At 46.8% G+C, this 19,667-nt stretch overlaps 1 protein-coding gene across 8 annotated transcripts in view, besides 4 other annotated features; it reads right to left on the reverse strand.

The window, feature by feature from the left end:
* C1orf198 (chromosome 1 open reading frame 198) overlaps nucleotides 1-15,919 on the reverse strand; it is a 32,473-nt gene extending 16,554 nt beyond the window's left edge. The window contains exons 1-4 of one of the 8 annotated variants that reach the window (NM_001136494.2): nucleotides 15,810-15,919; nucleotides 15,140-15,243; nucleotides 14,508-14,730; nucleotides 1,996-2,046 (exon numbers count right to left, since the gene is read on the reverse strand). In NM_001136494.2, the coding sequence (NP_001129966.1) occupies nucleotides 1,996-2,046; nucleotides 14,508-14,726 (270 nt within the window). In that variant the 5' untranslated portion in view covers nucleotides 14,727-14,730; nucleotides 15,140-15,243; nucleotides 15,810-15,919. Of the gene's footprint in view, nucleotides 1-1,995; nucleotides 2,047-2,205; nucleotides 2,336-14,125; nucleotides 14,850-15,139; nucleotides 15,247-15,375 lie in introns of those variants that run through there. The other 7 variants (XM_047432496.1, XM_047432495.1, XM_017002599.3 and 4 more) reach the window with 7 other exon arrangements.
* Nucleotides 1,570-2,769: an enhancer, noted in NCBI's record as "MED14-independent group 3 enhancer chr1:230990988-230992187 (GRCh37/hg19 assembly coordinates)". NCBI's record gives its function as "activates an origin of replication core promoter dependent on BRD2, BRD4, P300/CBP and CDK7 cofactors, and independent of MED14, by STARR-seq in HCT116 cells {active_cell/tissue: HCT116}" and the evidence as "EXISTENCE:reporter gene assay evidence [ECO:0000049][PMID:35650434]".
* Nucleotides 14,778-14,997: a silencer, noted in NCBI's record as "silent region_1943". NCBI's record gives its function as "represses an Ori minimal core promoter by ATAC-STARR-seq in GM12878 lymphoblastoid cells {active_cell/tissue: GM12878}" and the evidence as "EXISTENCE:reporter gene assay evidence [ECO:0000049][PMID:35858748]".
* Nucleotides 14,778-15,412: a biological region, named in NCBI's record as "NANOG-H3K27ac-H3K4me1 hESC enhancer GRCh37_chr1:231004239-231004830".
* Nucleotides 14,821-15,412: an enhancer, noted in NCBI's record as "NANOG-H3K27ac-H3K4me1 hESC enhancer chr1:231004239-231004830 (GRCh37/hg19 assembly coordinates)". NCBI's record gives its function as "activates a minimal SCP1, AML or CMV promoter by ChIP-STARR-seq in naive H9 embryonic stem cells {active_cell/tissue: H9 hESC(naive)}" and the evidence as "EXISTENCE:reporter gene assay evidence [ECO:0000049][PMID:30033119]".
* Nucleotides 15,920-19,667: the final 3,748 nt, after the last annotated feature.

Below are 19,667 nucleotides of genomic sequence, written 5' to 3' on the forward strand. Positions count from 1 at the left end.
ATCTAACAGGAGTATGAAATGAAACTGCCAACTCTGAGCTATGAAGACTACACTTTACTAAAAGGATGCAATTTCTGATGGGTGACACATATTAACCAGATTTTAGCAAGCTTCCTCAACTTACACTGGTTCCTAAGGGACCAGATATGCTGGCATCTGTGGACAATGAGCCTCTCAGCACAAGTGTGATTCAAGTGGACTGTACTTGCTCTCTTTTTTCTCGAGATCTTCGCCAGGCACCTGTTTCCCACTCTGGCCCCAGCAGCTGTGCTTGTATCAGTGGCCACTCCAGGAGCTGCACCACCTTGTCCCAGAATGTCATTTATGCCAAGTTAATAAAAGATGAAATGTCCTGTCCCACAAATAGCTGATTCAGGAACATTTAACAAGCTAAATTCTTAAGAGAACAGATGTTCTCGTGGGGAACATGATGAGCTTAGGTCTTAGGACACTTTAACTATTTTTTACTTTCCTTTGCCTTTATCACTATGATATCTTCAAATATAGACCCAGTCCAGGAAAATCTGCACTGCTTTCTGGGTCACCATACCCAAGGCTGCTCATTTCCAACACACAGAGAATCTATCTGGCTATTACCACTAGATATCATCTATAGGATTAGTACTTCTCACAATTACCCATTTTGGGAGCCCATAGAAGAGGAATATTGAGGGCCCTGGCTAAGAATCAATGTAATGATGCACTTTTTACCCACTTATGACTTCCTTTGCAATGTCAGTAGACACAGGATCCAGTGTTGGATTTAGAAGCTATTCCAATTGCAGGCGGCTCCTTAACATCTTGTGCTCTCTCCCAAGACAGTGCTGGTCACCCCTGCAACCCGTACCCGATCCCTAGGGAGACTACATTAATGCCATGCCTTCCCCAAAACCACCTCTTAACTCTAACACTCATCTCAATTGTCCCACGCTCCCACGCCCTGAGGCCAGCTCACTTCACCCAGGGCAATCGGCAATAGCTTACTAAATACTGTCTGTGTGCCAAGAACAGTGTCAGCTGTCCTTGTGTCCATCTGAACCCTTGGGCAATATTTCATTTTAAGACACAGTCGCCAACATGAGGGCCTCTCAGGGTCCTTCATGAACCACTCTGGCCCACCCTCCTCATAGGTCTCCTGCTGGGATGAGGGCTCTGATCAGCAATGATGTGGACAAGTGAAAAACCAAAAAACAAGTGCCTTGAGGTATCAGTATTTAAAAACCCTGATCTGCCCAGCAGTCCGAGCCCTATTCCAGGCTCACCACCGTCTCTGTCTGTAACACACTCTCATGACGTAAAGAACCCTCCAACACACATCACCAAATGTTCCAGAATTCAGAAAATCTTGGTCTTTTATTTCTGTCCCTTGGGTTAAAGACACCTGTCTTTTAGTCATTTTGCTTATGAATGTACTTCTACTGGGGCAACTTAGGAGATGGGGAAAATGAATTAAAATCAGTGAAGCTTGATGCTCTTAAGCAACTCTGGTGATGATGATGATAATGATGAGAAGAAGAATGACTGGGAGACAGAATTAGTGATCCACGTTGGGATGAATTAGCTAAATGGATGTCTATGTCTATCAATCAGCTCGTCACCTCCCATTTGCTCAAAGCTTTGTCTTATGGGGCATCTCCCATCAAGGTGCTAAGTGCTGGGAACCAGAGGTATGAGCAGAGACAGGGCCCCCAAGAGGGCTGGCCCCCTTAACCAAGCTGGCCGGGAGTCCTAGACAATGGGCATCATGGGGCGTCATTGGACCCTGGCAGAAAGCACTACTACTTTGAACTCACTATCACCAAACCACACACAATAGTTTCCTAATTCCTCACCATGCTCCTCCCATCCCCTCCTTTTCTACCAACAATGGACACATCCCCTGCAGCCTGGCAGTCAGGGGGCTGTCTTCTGAGTCCATCAAATGCTGAAAGAAAAATATACAACTACTCAGTTCTTTTTAAAAGAACAAATAGATCTAAATTTAATCCAACTTACCTTTGTTTCCCAGGAGAAAGGGGCAGAGTGCTCATCTTGCCAAGTTAGATCCTGAAATAAAAAATCGAGAATAAGTCTGAAATTCAAACCCAGACATACCCCATGCAAATATCCACCCAGGACCGTGGGGGAACCAAAACTTAGGAATAATCCCAACTCCTGGCTCTAAACAAGCCTGATGCTTTGACACTCTCAATATAATGCGCTGACCGTCTTGATCAGATTGCTCCCTCATCTTTCCCGCTGAGGCTGCCAGACACTCCCCTCCCCAGCCAAACAGACAACAGGGAATGCCGGTGAGGCCCCCCAATGGACTCAGACAGATGAGATGAGTAGGAGTGGATGAGGGCTTGATGGTCTCAGCAGAATCAGGCACAGACTCAGCCCTGAACAATGATTAGCTGTGTGGCCATGGGAAGATGACTCAGCCTTTTTGAGCCTCAGTTTTCTCATTTGTAAAAGCAAAATGATACTTCCCTTGCAGGGCTGTTGTAAGGATTAAATGAGGTAATCTGGGAAAAGAACGCCAAGCCATAATCTGCCAGTCAATGCCAATACAGGAGCTCCCCTCCTCCCCAACAGGCCTACCAGAGAGCTCGAGGGCATGGATCAGCAGAATCAATGAAGAAAAACGCCAATGTAATCCATGTGACTAATTATAACAAGAACTCTGAAATCACTCCCCACCCCCACCAAACAGAACAGGACAGAAAGAGCCCTATAGAACAATCACTACGAATTTGACCTTGGATCCAGTATGTTTTGTTCACTGGCCTGCACAAATGACTTGGGGAAGCCACCTTTCCTTATATCCCACCCTCTACCCGCAGTTATTCCTGTGCTAGCAAATGTCTCATCTGTGTCCAGCTTCGATTGGGTAACTTTTGTTTGTTTGTTGGTTTGTTTTAAGAGATGGGGTCCCAGTATGTTGGCCAGGCTGGACGCAAACTCCTGGGCTCAAGGGATGCTCCTGCCTTGGGTGTCCAGAGCAGCTGGGACTACAGGTGTGCACCATGTCTGACTGCTTCTACTGGGAGCATATTTTCAGAACAAAAAATCAGGACACATTGGGTGATACAGGCTAAAATGGGATAAAATATTTTAAACGGAGATCATATCCATATCTCCCCAAAACTCCAGGTGATTTATGTCCTTCCGTAAGTATCCCTGGATAACTGTCTTCTTCCCACCCATAGGTACACCGACTCTGCGCCCCTAAGTCAAGGGTCTGGCTTCCCTCTCCTCTACAGGGCAAACCAGTTCTGCCCACAGACCCTCTTCTTTCAGCTTTTGACAGAGCCTCCGCCACCCTAGCTTAGCCTCAGACACTGGGGGCAAATGCCAGGGCCCACGCAGGGGGAGTGCCTCACCAACACATAAGTGTACACATTCAGCCTTCCAGACCCCGAGTGTGCGTTCTCTGTGCAGACGCCTCCTAACATGAACAGCCAGTGGGAGGTCAGTCTTTGAACTCAAATAACGAAGGCATGCCAGGGTCTGGGCAGCTGAAGGCCTATTCCCAAGAAGCGGGGACAGGGAAGGAAGTGTGTGATGACTCCCCAGCACAGCCCAAGCACGGCCAACCCTAGATGACAGGGGCAACACAGCAGGGCCTTTGTCCGCTTCTCTATCCCAAGTGCCCGGAAGACTCAGCGACTGCCCGTAGCGGACGCTTACTCACTCTTTGAGAATATGTGAATAAACAAACTCTGCACAAGCCCGGATCCTTTCACAGGTTGATTTTCCCCCACAATCACCCGCTCCCAACACTCACACTCCCCCAAGACTTCCCAATGTGGGGGCACAGGCTCTTCACAGCTCTTGGCCCCAGGAGGAAGAGCCAGCCATCAACAGGGTAGAGATCTGGTTCTGTGTCCTGATGGCTGTGCTGTGTGCCTTGGCTCTGTGCAGTAGAGGCTGGTACATTTGTGGCACAAATACTTCACATATGCTGGGGATAAAGAGCAAGGAAAACCCAGAGAGGAGACTGTCAAAAGGCCAGAATCCAGGTCTTTATTTTCCCAGGACAGCATATAAAAGGACTAAATATATTTATATCAGGAAAAAAAACACCACTAACAAAGATACTAGGTATAAATATTAAGAATTACAAAAGTGAGGGAAAAGCCCTACAAACTGGGTTAAGCTGCATTAAAGTGTATCAAACAGTCAGTTCTGAGAACCACATAGTGTGTGCAACTAATGACCATGTGCACAGTAAGATGACCCCCATCCTCAGAGTGTTACAGTCACTGTCCTGTAATGGTATTTGCTTATGATCCTGACTTCTGAACTGATTGGTATGCAGTGCCTCATGGCTGTCAAGCAAAACCTTTAAAAATGAGAGGAACCACTGCCTTTTTGTTTGGAATTTCAGTTAAACTCAAGTCACTTCCCAATGCACAAACTTCATTCCTCCAAAAATGGAAATGGATGCCTGGAGGAATGTGAGTTACCAAGGCTTTGTGATTAGATGTCTCCTAGCAGAGGCAGAGGGCCAGCCTTCAGCTCTAGGGGGCTCCTTGTCCACGTCTCTGTGTGCATGCTAGGGGTACAGTTGAGCTAAATAACCAAAGTCCCTAAAATCCTCAGAACCCTCTGAGTTCCGTTTAGAAGCAATCAAACCAAGAAGGGCTTTGTTTTCACATGGGAAAAATAAAAGAGGCTGATGGAATGTAAGTATCATTTATTCTAGTTAATCATTCATTAACTCTTCGTGAATAAATGATCTCTGCACAAGCCTGGATATTTTCACAGGTTGATTTTCCTCCCCAGCCTCCACACCCCACACTCACACACCCCCTAAGACTTCACCGGCTCTTCACAGCTCTTAGTTCCAGGAGGAAGAACCGGCCATCCACAGGGTAGAGTAGAGATCCAGCTTTGGATCTTTCGAAAAAGGTAAATGGAAATCAACTGGCAAAGGTGCTCCTTCCATCCAGAATCAGACAGGCCACTGGCCACCCAAATGGAAAGAGGAAGTGCATGAACACCTGCGGGGCAGGCAGAGGGCAGGACCACTGACTGGCCAGGGTGGGGCATGATGGAGCTGGACTCCCCTGTTACTCGATATGATTCTAAATATTAATTATATACCTTAAGTCCCTTTGAAATCTGCAAAGATTAAAATAATAAGGCTTTTGGCTTTGGAAGGTGGCTCAATACAACACTCTGAGGAACGAAGACTTAGCCCAGAGCTTGGGGACAGTCAACTCTCCAGTGACTGCAACCCATATTAGCTGAAATTCCAAGGGGGTCACAGGAGGAGAAAGGGTCACACTGTGATTTCTCCCCTACTTAGTGTCGAGTCAATAGTCTTCTGTTTGCTCCAGCAAGAAATGAAGTCAAGGGGCAGATTCCTTGGGTTTCTGTAATTCTGAGCTCATAAAAAACAATAAAGTGCTTAACAAAAATAAACATGCCAAACAAAAATGTGATGGAAGCTCTGATGTCAGCCGTGGACTGCACGCTCTAGCCACAAAAAAGCACTGGCGGCAAGAACAGGCTCCCTGGGCTGTTGGATGCAAATGGAATCAGAATTGCAAAGTGGCGGCACCCACTCACACGCATACAATGCTGTCCTTTCTTCTACTCCCATGGTGACCAGCCTGCAACCAAAATGAGGCCAGGCACATGCTTTTGGACCAATCACATATGCTTTTTCTAGGACTGCTTGGAAGGCTTTCCCACCCCCCTCTCTGGCGCCTAGGATCTGAAATCATCTAAGTGTCAAAACACATCTGTTACTTAGGCCACACGACAAGAGAGTGGGCTTCATTGTTGGCCAGGACTTATCCTCAGAGTCAAATTCCGTAAGAGGCATCCATACCAAATGGGCAGCACTGAATCTCTCCAGAAACAATGACTTCTTTGGAGTGCAGAACAGAAAGATGCCCCAGGTCACCAAATCCCAGAGCAGAAAGCCAAAAAGCAGGGGGGAAGCTATAGAAAGCCACCAGAAACACAGAGCACTTGGCAATTATCAGAGGCCAGCGCTACATGTAAGAGGCTCTGCCAGTCCCCACGCAGCTCCAAGGACTCCGGGATAAACACACACACAAACAATCTTTTTCCCTAACATCCCAGAGACCTTGAGTATTTGCTCTTCTCTGGGAAATGTTCATTCAATTCAGTGTGCACCTCCTAAATCCTAAATGAAACAGAATTAAAAATAATAACATATATTTTTTGCTCATAGTGCTGGAATACATGTTTGCATCATATCGCCAGCGTTTACTTCTTTACTTGTTGATAAAAAAAATGGATACTGGAGGGCTTAAGAACTCTGTGGTTCCTAGACACTTTTATTTTTGGAGGCTGCAAGGCTGCAACCAGAGGTGTGTTGGAGCAGGCCTGCACCAACTAACGAGAGCTGATTGTAAAATTTTGAGGAATTTCTTGAACCTGTTGTTAAATATCTTGTTTAACTGCTGTGATTAAAAAGGTGAATTATACAAACTTGCAATTAAGTCCATTGTATTAAAAATAAAGGTAATATACTTCACACCCACAAGGATGGCTACTATCAAAAAGCAGATACTGGCAAGTATTGGTAGGATGTGGAGGCACTGGAACCCTTGTGCACTCTTGGTGGGAATGTAAATGATGCAGCCATTATATAAAACGGTTCGGCAGTTCCTCAAAAAATTACACATACAATTACCATTTGTTCTAGCAATTTCATTCCTAGGTATACACCCGAAAGAACTGGAAGCAGGGGCTCAGAGATCCTTATACCCCGATGTTTATAGCTGTGCCATTCACAATAGCCAAAAGATGAAAGCAACCAGGTATCCACTGACAGATGATGAATGCATAAACAAAATGTGGTCTATCCATCCAATGGAATATTATTCAGTCTTAAAAAGGAAGGAAATTCTGATACATGCTTCAACATGGATGAACCTTGAAGACATTATGCTTAGTGAACTAAGCCAGACACAAGGATAAAAATCATGTGATTCCACTTATATAAGGTACCTAGAGTAGGCAAAATCATAGAGACAGAAAGTAGAATAGAGGTTATCAGAGACTGAGGCCAGGAAATGGGGAGTTATTGTTTAATATATACAGAGTTTCATTGTTTAAAGGATATAGTTTCACTTTAAATAATACACGAGTTCTGGAAATGGATGGTGGTGATGATTGCACAACATTGAGACTGTACTAAATGCCTCGGACTATACACAGAAAAGTGGTTAAAACGGTAAATTTTATGTTGTATGTATTTTACCACAATAAAAAGTCATGGAAAGACATGGAGGAACCTCAAATGAATATTATTAAGTGGAAGAAGCCAATCTAAAAAGGCTACATATTGTATGATTCCAGCTATATGATATTCTGGAAAAGGCAAAACTACAGAGACAGTAAAAAGATCAGTGGCTGCCAGAGCCTGGGGGGCGGGAGGCATGAGCAGGTGGCACACAGAGGATTTCTGTTAAGGCAATGGATCCCCTCTGTATGATACCATCATGGCGTATACCTCCAAGAGCGACCCCTAGTGTAAACCAGAGACTTCGGTTGACAATGATAAAAACAATGCAGGTTCACTGATTGTAATCAGTGCACCACTCTGGTTTAGGATGTTGGTGGTGGGAAAGGCTGTGTGCATATGCACGTCTGTGTGTACATTTTGGGAAAGGTCTGTGTGGGAACTCTCTGTACTTTCCGCTCAATTTTGCTGGAACCTAAAACTACTGTAAAAACTGAATTTTTTTAAAGTGTGCCCCCCCCAAAAAAAGTAATAAACACTAGAAACTCATCATTTCAATACAGTTACTATTATCCATGGTCTTAAGGTTGTTTGCATCCATTGTATGTGTAAGGTGGAAATACCATATAGCGCGGTGCCCAGATATGCATCCCGTGAGTCACGCCAACAGCGTGCAACGGGCCATGGTGGAGTATCTGGTCATGGCAACCAGCAAATGCTAGAAGTCAGGGCTAGTTCGCCTCACTCCCCCAGAGCCGGCTCCAGCATACCACAGGCTACAACCATAACAAACATCCTGATATTCATCACATTCTGCAAGTGTTTCTGGTGTGTGGATGGATAGCGCCTGCAGAGGGAGCTGTCCAGCATGGGGGCTCCCTTAGGGCCTCCACAAGCTGTTCCAGGAAAAACAGCTAGGCGGGGAGTGAGGGGCTTTCTGGGGTGATTCTAAAACAGCATCAGGATCTTGGAACACGGCAACACGCGTATTGATGCCAGAAATGGTCATCGTCTTCCTGAAATCCATAAATAAGGAGAGTTTCTGGTTGACACCTGTGGCATCTTGGCTTGAAGGTAAGAAATGTAAACTGAGAAATTCTATAAGCTAGAGAAATAAGGCTTAGAGAGCAGAGCATGTGAGCAGGACAGAAAGTCCCATAGGTTGCAGAGTGTGTCACCCTGTAGTGATGCCAGGTGGCCTGGCCATCTTGGTTCATCCAGGGTGGAACACGTTGTTCCTGGTGAGCTGTGTCGTGCCCATCACTCCCTCAGAGATGCCAGAGCCTGTCCTGTGGATCAACTGTAAGGTTTAATTACCGAGTGACAACACTGGTTGTTGTCACTGATAATGACAGCACCCTGGACATGTTGACCAACTGAGGGCCTCCCAACCACAGCTCCATGCACAACTGTGCTTCTGCTATAGTTATTTCTATATTTATTCCTCCACAAATAAATATATTACAGGAGTGAGGTAATCACATTCCTTGGCATTTACCCAGATGAACTGAAGACTTACGTCCACACAAAAAACCTACACACAGATGTTTTACTCATAATTGCCAAAACTTAGAAGCAACCAAGATGTGTTTCAGTTATTGGATAAGTAAACTGTGATACATCCAGACAATGGAACATTATTTAGCAAGAAAAAGAAATGAGCTACCAAGCCATACAAAGACATGGAAGTACCTTAAATGAGTATCACTAAGTGAAAGAAGCCCATCTCAAAAGGCTGCATACTGTATGAATCCAACCATATTACATTCTGGAAAAGGCAAAACCATGGAGACAGTTAAAATATCGTTGGTTGCCAGGGGTTGGGGGGATGGAAGGATAAGTAAGTGGAACACAGAGAATTTTTAGGGCAGTGAAACTCCTCTGTGTGATATTATAGTGATGGGTACATGTCATTATTCATTTGTCAAGATCCATACAGTGGACAACCCAAGAGTGAACCCTAAACTATGGACTTTGGGTGGTAACGACGTGTCCATGTACGTTCATCAGCTGTCACAAATGCACCACTGTAGCGTGGGAGCCAGAGAGGCAATGAGAACTTTGTACCTTCTGCTCAATTTTGCTGTGAATCTAAAATTGCTCTAAAAAATTAAGTCTATTCAAAAAGAGGAGAGTAAGGAAGAATGATTAAAATATGTTCTTTTTTTACCAACTGCTTATTTTCAGCAAGCATTGTTTACATATTTATGGAATCCATGCTTTTCCCTTTGACTTGTAATATTTTTAACTCTGCTGAGATAAGGGGGTTTCCATAACTGGAAATACAACACTGCAGTTGCAAAGACAGAAAAACAGTCCTGATTTAACCATGGGGCATGTTTTCCACCATGAATACGAATCCAGAAACTCAAGCCTCCATAGATTACAGCAAAACAAAAACTCAGCATGAGCATGGTAATGGAAACAGGATACAGAGTAGGTGGAGGAAATGCTAAAGAAATGAGCAAAATATGACAGGAAGTCTAAACAAATAGGTCTCATCTTCCTTCATTTATTCAGAAGAAGAAGAAGAAGAAATAGATATTTTCTCCAGTACTATGGGAATCCCTTGCTTAGAGTGTAAAAGTGACTCTTATCAATTAAAAGATGACTCCACACCTGTCGCCATGCTTCCTGCCCTCCCTCCCCGCAGGTCTGTGACCAAGTCACTTCATTTCTTTGCTAAACCTGTTCCCTGGCTGCCACTGGGCCACCCTCCCACAGGAGCCAGCAGGCAGAGGTGCCTGGGGAGGAGAGGCCTAAGCTGCTGCCTGAGCTCCCAGGGCAGCAGGCCACGTGCTACTCAGGGCAGAGAACCCACAACATAAAAGGGAAGCTCACAGAACAGGCCCGACCGCCCTCTCCTCTCAGCCCGTGGAACTGGAATTGAAGCAGGGCCATCTCAACTCCTGCCCAGGGCCCCAGGTAGAGGGACTCAGAAAACCCTGCTATCCTTTCTAAAACATCCATGGATACAGCAGGCACAAGGTGGGAATCATAATTCAAACATCCACCTTCCTTAAAAAATGAGTCCAAAATGCTGAGAAAGCAACTCCCTAATTTTCTTTTTCCTTTTTTTTATTTTTATTTTATTTTTTTAATGTCAGATTTCAAAAAGAAAAGGCCAGTCTACTAAAGGGAAAGGGGATGAGGAAACTTCATGTGTCATTGGTCCTGCATTGAGAGGCCACACAGCAGCCAAACTCAAATCTAACAAAGATGTAAGGCTCAAGAAAGTTCTGAAGCGATTGATTCTACCAGCTGTTTTATAATGCTCCTTCTGCCTGGTTTGAAACTTTTAACAATAATGTACAGGTAAAAACTTTTGTAATAAATTGGTTTATTTTAGAAAGCAAACCTCTAGGCTGGCCAGCACACAGGCCCCTAGGTTTGCAGAAAGGTCTTTTGCAGGTAGCCCTAATGACACAGAGCGGGTGTAGCAGCTCAGCAGTTTGCTAAACATAGGTACCCATAGCCGCCTCTAGCCTAAGGACTAAGAAGCCACAGGCAATGCAGCAGACATAGGGAGGCAAAAACAGCTTCAGAAAAGGAAGCTAAGGCCAAGAGGAATAAGAGAGCAACAGCAAGTCCTCAGGTTCCTGTAGGAGGAGCAGAGATGAAGGCACTGGAGGGACACGGCAGTGGATCATGCCAAGCTGTTGAAGAGGGGACAGAGCTGTCTGGCTCCGGGTTCTTTAAAAATCCACGTTCCACAACATGTGAAACCCCGATTAGGGATATTGAAACACCCTTCTTGCCCAGCTCCACCGTATGGAGAGATGGAAGAGGCAAGTAGGTCCACGCGAACAAGACGCACCAGCTGCCAAAGCTCCCCCAGTCATCTGCTTAGGGCCCATCTGGAGCCAAGAATGTATCACAGAACGCAGAACCCTGTAACTCTCACCATGTACTCAGATCTTGCTAGATCAGTGACAAGAAGATTGGGGGCAGGAGCAGGGAGGAACACATTCCTAACAATTCAGAGGTGTGTGGGGTTTTCTCCTTGCAGATAACAGGAAACAGCAGAAGCAAACAGGGTGATCCCTCTAAAATAAAAACTTTTCCCCTCCCAAACTAAGCCATTCCCGAAACCCTACTGCTGGAGGAAGAACGTGGCAATCAAGCAGCGTGGGTGAAAGACTGTCAAAAGCATCCATTTGCAAACCTGCCTTAATGTTCTTACCAAAATACTGGACCCAAAGTGCACGGCCCCAGTGTCTGGGCCTGCTCCAAGCCAGACCAGCGAGTTGGAAAGAAACTCTGTGAGCCATTGGTTCTGCCACCAGACTTCACAGAGAGGCAAACTACCCCTTAAGAGGGGTGGCACCTTGCTGCTGGCATGGCCAGGACAAGAATCCAGGACATGGGGCTCCACCGGCTCCTCTCCTTTTGCTGGTTGAGAAGCGTTCTTCCAGCAGCAGCTCCAGATTCTCCACAAAATGGGGTTGGGTGGCTGTGGGAAGGGGCCGGGGCCTAGGTTGAAGCTATACTTCCATGCTTTTTTACTGAGATCATATGTTCACACGTGGGGATTTTTAAAGGAGTTGGTAAAGATTATGGGAGGATGAAGTACCCTAAGCTAAAATGCCTTGTCTCTAATATAATGGGCCTTGAGAAATATTTGCTCTGTTGATTTCCAAGGAAGCAAGAACCTAAAGACTGATAGGTCCCTTCACGGCTTCAATACTCAAAGGCAGCAGCCTCCTTCCCTGAGGAGAACCAGGTTAAGTCATCAAGGCAAGGGGCCATCTGGGCCTCAGGCCAAGGGATGAGGATGAAAACACACACACAGATGCCACACCTGTCAGATGCACACGGAACTTCAGTGAGTGAACTGAGCCCCTGACCACATTCAAAACCACCAAGATCTGTGATCAGCATCATATAATCAATTTCTATTTGTTCCTGCAATACACAAGAAATGTCTAGAAGATGATCACCACATTTGGAGGCTGTATTTGCATGCTCTGACTTAAAACGTTGCTATGTGAGATAGAAAAACATTACTGGCAATGGGGGAGAGGATACCATTCAAAGAAATAGGCAGTGTCCTTCAGGGCAGCGGAAAGGGCTGTGGAGGCCCCAGGACCACATCAGAAGACTGATCAAGTGGGAAGAGACATTGGGCCCCACTCTATCTAGTTTACAGTCCTTTAGGACAAACTTGGGGTCACCTATTTGGGGGTACCTCTGTTCAGCAGCCTATCCTGTCCTTATCCATCATCCCTGTGCCCAGGAGCTGGCCCTCCTCCATGAATGATCTCCTGGGGACAACAATGAGACAACTGACTCCACTTTGGTGCCTACCTCTGGCGCAGTCCAGGGGAATTTAAATTCCCTACTGCTATTAACCTACGCAGACACTGCAGGCAAAAATGTACCCTGGGCCATGTTCCTATGTACCTCTGTTAAAATTCAGGGTCTATCTGCCCCTCTGCTGTCTGAGCTGAGGCTGGTCAGAGGCATTTCAGAACATGCTCTCAGCTGGTTTTGCAAAGCTGAGATTCAATTCTCCTGAGTTACTCCTGGAAGGACATACAGGCACCACAGCACGGCACAGTTCCACTTGCTTTTAAATCACATTGAGTTTACAAATTCAGAAACGGCTCAGTCTGGCACCAGATGAGGAATGAGAATAAAAAATTAACTTGGCCACATTCTTCCTTGTCAGTAATACTGGGCTCTTCTATGACATGGGCTTTTTCATCATGAGTAGGCGTGTAGATATTCTTAGCTGGACACCAAGCTAAGGGAAAATGACAGTCACTCTCCAACATTTGTAAGTACTTAGAAGTTTACTTCCTGTCATATTTATTCGTGACTCTTCCAAAGGAGTGCTGCCTGCTTTTTCATCCCCCAAATCTGGGCGCAAACACTGCACACAAGTCTTTATAAATACGCCTATTTTCCCACTGAAAATGTTTCAGCTCTAGGAATACATTTTAAAACCTATATTTTCCCCTCCCCAGTTTACCACACCCTTGTTTTTCCTGGCAAAGCCATCAGAATTTGAAGTCCAGTAGAGAATTTCCTTTTGATTCCATCAGAATAAAGAAACACTGGCAGCATCCTTCAGTCATTTCACTTTTCCCTCACATTAAAGTGGGTTTATGACCATGAACACTTCGTATTAATAAATGTCTCAGCACACCCAAGCCTGAAAATCTGATCTAAACCTCCTTAACTTGAATTCCATCCACAATCCACAACTTCCTCGGAAAAAATCTCTCCCAGCTTCTCCTTCCTCTAGCCCAAGAAACAGCCTTAACAGCGAGCGATTTCATTCCTACACTCTTTGCTCAGCTTGACTTTGCTCCTCACGGCAAAAGTTGAGTTTGAAACGCCAAAGAGTCACAGTGCAAATTCTAATGGCACCAAACAGGCTTCGGTTAAACACATTTCTAAGAAAAAGAAGACCAAGTTTCTGAACCCTACAGAAGATTCAGGCGTTTGTGACTAAGTGTGGGTCATCCCTGAGCTTTTTCTGGAACAGATTCAGCGTTTCTACCTTCACAAATGACTGTCCCTCTAGCAGTCTGGACAGTGTCTAGATCTGAGACCTAAACATGCCCTGTTATGTGGCCAAGACTTACTGGAGCTCATTTAAACTTATCGTCCCTTAGTTTTTTGGTGGAAAACAGGGCCACCATGCTCACCCTTAAAACATACGCTGGGCATTGTGCTCACTTGGAAAACATCTTAGGGTGATGGATGGGTTTCCCTCCTTATCTTGGAAGACACCTTTTCTTCCTTGTTACCTGGCTTGGCAATTTTACTTTCCCCATACATCTCATCACAAGTATTCATGTTAGTATATATCATTTGCTCAGTCCCTTCACGGGCAGGCACGGGGTGGCGTTATTACCCCCGTTTTACACAGTGGAAACTGAGGCTCTAAGAAGTTAATTGACCCACCGCCATACAGGTAGTAAGTAGCAGAGCTGGATTAAAACCCAGGCTTGTCTGGTTTAAAATTGCTTGTTGTTTCCACTTTGGTCAGCCTCGCTTACGACAGCTCCGGGAGAAGTCTCTGGAGTCCGTGCGAGCCGGCGGATCAGGTCTAGATGGAGGTTCTTTAACGACCCACCTCTCGGCGATCTCTTAACCAACTCCCCCAGCGGAGCCCCCACCCCCCGAACTTCGGCTCTGGGGCTCCCCTCCCACCCACTGCCATTCCTGCCTTTTCTTTTCCAGCCCCTACCAGCTGGGGCGGCCTCACGCCGGCAGGTGCCCACCGGGCCGGGGCGCCTCGGGGCGCCGGGAGGGGAAGAGGGTCCGCGGCCAGGCCCGCACCTACCTCGTCCCCGAAGCGCACCACCTTCTGGCCCGTGGGCCCGCGCAAGCCGGGGAAGCGCGTGAGCTCCTCCGAGTCCCCGGGGTCTCGGGGCGCCGGGGCGCGCGGCCCCACCAGGCACCGGTCGATGATCTCGTCCTGCTGCGCGGGCGGCAGCCGCGCCCACTCGGGCCCGTACTTCTCGCGGATCTTCTCCTTGTCCTGCATGATCTTCCTGGCCATGGGGCTCAGCGACGAGAAGTAAGTGAAGCGCTTTCGCTCCCGGTCGTCCAGAGGCCGGTTCCCGCTCATGACCGCCGAGCGCGAAGCCGCGATCGCCGCCGCCATGGACGCCATGCCCGGCCTGCCCGCCGCTCCCGGCCCGCGCCCCGCCCCTCGCTGTGCCCGCCCTCGCCCCGCCCCGCGCCACCCGGAGCCCCGCCCCCTCCGGGAACCCCGCCCTGCACCGCCGCGTACCCGGGTCTCCAAGCCAACCCAGCTCCCCAAGCCCCGGGACCCCGGCCCTCCGTGGCCCCCTCCCCGGGAGCTCCTCCCTCCGGGCCCCCCCCCGCCACCCCCTCGCGGACCCCACGAGTCCCCCTTTACGCCTCCATAGTGGATTACCGCGGTGCCCGCAGGTTTCGGGCTCCCCTTACCCGGCTCAGGTGGTAGCCGGCGTGTCCCTGAGTCCGCGCCCGGCGCTCTGAGAGGGTGGCCGTGGTTAATTCCCGGTAGTGACCGCCATAGCGCCACGTGGCCACTGCTTGACAAAGGAAACTTTTTTCAACCTCCAGTGAGCCTAAGAAAGCCCCAGCATTTCAGGCCAAGCCGCTGGCTGCCTGGCTTCTGTTTTTACTCCTTTCCTTCTGTCCCTTTCTGGGACGAGCCACACCTTCTCTGCTTTCTCTGGGCCCGTCCAGGACGCTGGGCCCGGGGCCTGGCGCGGTGAGCTGCAGATAGCCGGGGGCGCAGGGCAGCCCGGAGGCTGGAGGGCGACCTGGAAGGCTGGACCGGTTCGGGGCATCTGGTGCTCAAGGAAAGTCAGCTCCCGCCGCCCCTCGGGGCCAGGTGGGTGCATGAAGTACCCGGTGGCCCAGGTGCCTTTCCCCAACCCAAGGAGCTCAGAACTCTTGGCAGTTCGACGTTTGCAAACAAACCAAAGAGGAGCAGAAAGTTTTCAGACTCAGAGGCGACATCCCAACAGGTAGGGGGCCAGGGTTTGTAATTTTGAGGTGTGTCCCAGACAGACCACAAAATTAAAATTATAGCGAGCCCCCACTTCCCCCAAGCCCCTCTCTCCATCTGACTGATTTTAACAAGACTAACAGGACTCAGGTGAGAATTGTGTCCACTCGTAAAATAAAAAAACAAAAACAAAAACCAGCATTTCAGCTGTTATCCAGGGTCTTTGCCTGGATAGTTCTGAACACAAAAGTAGAAATAACTTGCAAAGTCCTATTTTAAATGTGAGATGGCCTCATCTTCCGGCCCAGAAATCCTCAGAATATTTTTGGAATGTCATGAATGTGGCAGGCTCTACAGTTAAAGACATTATTATCAACAATGTTCACAACATAATATATTGAAGCAGGGAAAGGCAAGCACCACCAAATATAGTCTCCACAGTAAGTGGCGGATTATTTATGAGACCGGAAGTTTAAGGACAGTTTTTTGGAGTATGATCTTCTGTTTGAGTTGATGCTAGAGAAGCTCAATACATTGACCTGAATCCCACTGATTTCTCTCCTCTAATCCTTGTTTAATAATATAGGTAATGTTTAAAGATATATTCTTGAAATTAATTAACATCCCCAGGCTTGCTTTGATATTCACATAAGAAGCTGTCCGTACCCTTAGAAACTTGGTCTCATGCTGTTTTCAAAGCAGTTGTGGAAATAATTGTTGCTTTCAAAAAAAAAAAAACCACAACCCCATGAGGTGTTTTGGGTCTGGCAATAATTGATTGTCAAAGAAGTTTTCAAGATAATAAAAGCGTGAGATAATTCAGGGACATTGGCCAAAGTATGTAAAGTCCATGATCTGGATGATAAGGGGCTAACTGAAAGAAAAATTCTTCCAGATTATAAGAAGAAACTCAGGGGAATTAAAGTATGGCTCTAACAGATGACTTGGCTGAAATTAGAAACTTTTTTTTTTACATATATCTTTATCTACTCCTGGAGGGAATAAAAATAGCCAAACTCCGGCCGGGCACGGTGGCTCACGCCTATAATCCCAACAGTTTGGGAGGCCGAGGCGGGTGGATCATGAGGTCAGGAGATCGAGACCACCCTGCCTAACATGGTGAAACCCCGTCTCTACTAAAAATACAAAAATTAGCTGGGCGTGGTGGCACGTGCCTGTAATCCCAGCTACTCGGGAGGCTGAGGCAGGAGAATCACTTGAACCAGGGACTCGGAGGTTGCAGTGAGCCAAGATCGCGCCACAACACTCTAGCCTGGGCGACAGAGGGAGACTCTGTCTAAAAAAAAAAAAAAAGAAAGAAAGAAAAAAAGAAAAAAAGCCAAACTCCAAATATGTAATTAGGTTACATGGTCTGAATGTTTATATCCCCCCAAAATTCATATGTTGAAATGCTAACTGGTAAGATGATGTGGGGCCTTTGGGGAGATGGTTAGGTCAGGAGGGCAAAGCCCTCATGAGTGGGACTGGTGCCCCTGTAAGAGACTCAAGGGAGCTCACTTGCCCCATCCACCGTGTGACCTTACAGCAAGAAGGTGCCATCAAAAGGCACAACCTATGAGCCAGGAAGCAGAACCAGACACCAAGTCTGTGGGTGCCCTGATCTCAGACTTCCCAGCTTCCAGGTCTGTGAGAAATAAATTTCTATTGATGATAAGCCACTCAGTTCATAGTATTTTGTTATAGTGGCCCGAATGGACCAAGACTTCAAGTAAAATAGTGCGGGATGGCTGTCATGCTAAGCACCTGTCGCAGTCCCTTTGGGACGTGGTACCATAGACTGGGTGACTTCAGCAAAAAACATGTATTTCTTACAGTTCTGGAGGCTGGAAGTCTGACATTAGGATGCCAGTGTGATCAGATTCTGGTAAGAGCCCTCTTTGGGGTTGCAGACTGCCAGCTTCTTGTTATATCCTCACATGGTGGAAAGAGGGATACAGCAAGCTCTCTCATGACTCCCGTAGGGCACAAATCCCTTTCCTAAAGACTCCATTCTCATGACCTCATCTAGTCAGTCCTAAGTACTTTCTTCAGGCCTCACCTCCTAATACCATCACATTGGTATTAGGTAGGGTTTCAACATAAGAATTTTGAGGGGACACAAGTGTTTAGTCTGTAACATCTTCTTAGGTAAGAATTTGGATGGAGGCAGCCTAAATTATCTTTCTTTGTGAATGTGGTTTAGCCAGTAGACTCTCTCTGTTCACAAAATGAAGAGGCTAACACGTGGTGCCTGACCCACGGAAATGCTTTCAAACCTTGCAGTGGTCCAAAGGGTATTCCTTTAATCATCAGCACTTTACTGAGGCATTTGCTACTTTATGTTAAGCAATATGGGGGGAGATGAAAAGGGTGTGTTAACAGCATTATTTCCGTGTGTGATGAATGATCGGGGTCCCACACAAGATCGGCTCTGCAGGGCCTTGAGCACACTCTACCGGGTCTGTGTAAGCAACCTCAGGTTTTCATATGTGCTATGGTTTCATATTTGTCTCCTCCAAAACTCATGTTGAAATTAAATCGTCAGTGTGGCAGTATTGAGAGGTGGGGCCCTTAACAACTGATTGGGTTATGAAGGCTCTGCTCTCATGAATGGATTAATCCATTCATGGACCAATACTGGGTTAATGGATTAATGGGTTATCATGGAAGTGGGACTGGTGGGTTTTTTGTTTTTGGCTTTTTTGTTTTGGGGGGGGGGGGGGGGTTTTTTTTTTTTTTTTTTTTTTTTTTTTTTTTTTTTGAAGCAGAGTCTCACTCTGTCGCCCAGGCTGGAGTGCAGTGGCGCGATCTCTGCTCACTGCAACCTCCGCCTCCTGTGTTCAAGCGATTCTCCTGCTTCAGCCTCTCCAGTAGCTGGGACTACAGGTATCTGCCACCACGCCCGGCTAATTTTTTGTATTTTTAGTAGAGACAGAGTTTCACCATGTTAGCCAGGATGGTCTCGATCTCCTGACCTCGCGATCCACCCGCCTTGGGCTCCCAAAGTCTTGAGATTACAGGCGTGAGGCACTGCGCCCAGCCAACTGGTGGTTTTATAAGAAGAGCAGAGAAATATGAACAATCATGCGCAGCCCCTTCACCATGGGATGCCCTATACCACCTGGGGACTCTGCAGAGAGTCCTCACCAGCAAGAAAGACCTCACCAGATGCAGCCACTCAAATTTGGACTTGTCAGCCTCCGTAATTGTAAGAAATGAATTCCTTTTCTTTTTCTTTTTGTATAAATTCAGGGGGTACAAGTGCAGTTTTGTCACATGGATATATCACCTAGTGATGACCATCCCCTGAAAAATGTACATTGCACCCATTAAGGAATTTCTCATCACGTACCCCCTCCCACCTTTTTTTTTTTCTTTATAAATTACCTAGTTTCAAGTATACGGTTTTAACCAGAATATGGACTAAGACAACATGGTATTCGTTCCTGGAATGCTTTTCTTAGCAATTAGGGAGGCCAGATATGGTGGCTCATGCTTGTAATCCCAGCACTTTGGGAGGCCAAAGCAGGTGGATCACTTGAACCCAGGAGTTTGAGACCAGTCTGGGAAGCATGACGAAACCCCATCTCTACAAAAAATACAAAAATTAGCCAGGTGTGATGGTGTGCACCTGTAGTCCCAGCTACTTGGGAGGCTGAGGTGGGAGGATCACTTGAACCCGGGCAGGTCAAGGCTGCCGTGAGCCAAAATCATGCCACTGCACTCCAGCCTGAGTGACAGAGCTGTCCCCACCGCCCCCGCCTCCCACCCAAAAAAAGAAAAAAATTAGGGAGACATAGCAACAAGTGCTTTAACCGAGTCAAACTGTCTCTGGTGTCCTGAGCTGTGGAGTTCTTCCTGGTAAGTGTCATTTCAGTTATTTTCCTCAGAAATGTTCTTGAGTGACCACTAGAATGCAAACTGTACAATAAGGAGAACCTTATCTGCCTTGTTTACTGTTGTAAACAATAATGCCTTATTCATAGTGAAGGAATTATG

Source organism: Homo sapiens, chromosome 1 (genome assembly GCF_000001405.40).
Source record: "Homo sapiens chromosome 1, GRCh38.p14 Primary Assembly".
Taxonomy (NCBI): Eukaryota; Metazoa; Chordata; class Mammalia; order Primates; family Hominidae; genus Homo; species Homo sapiens.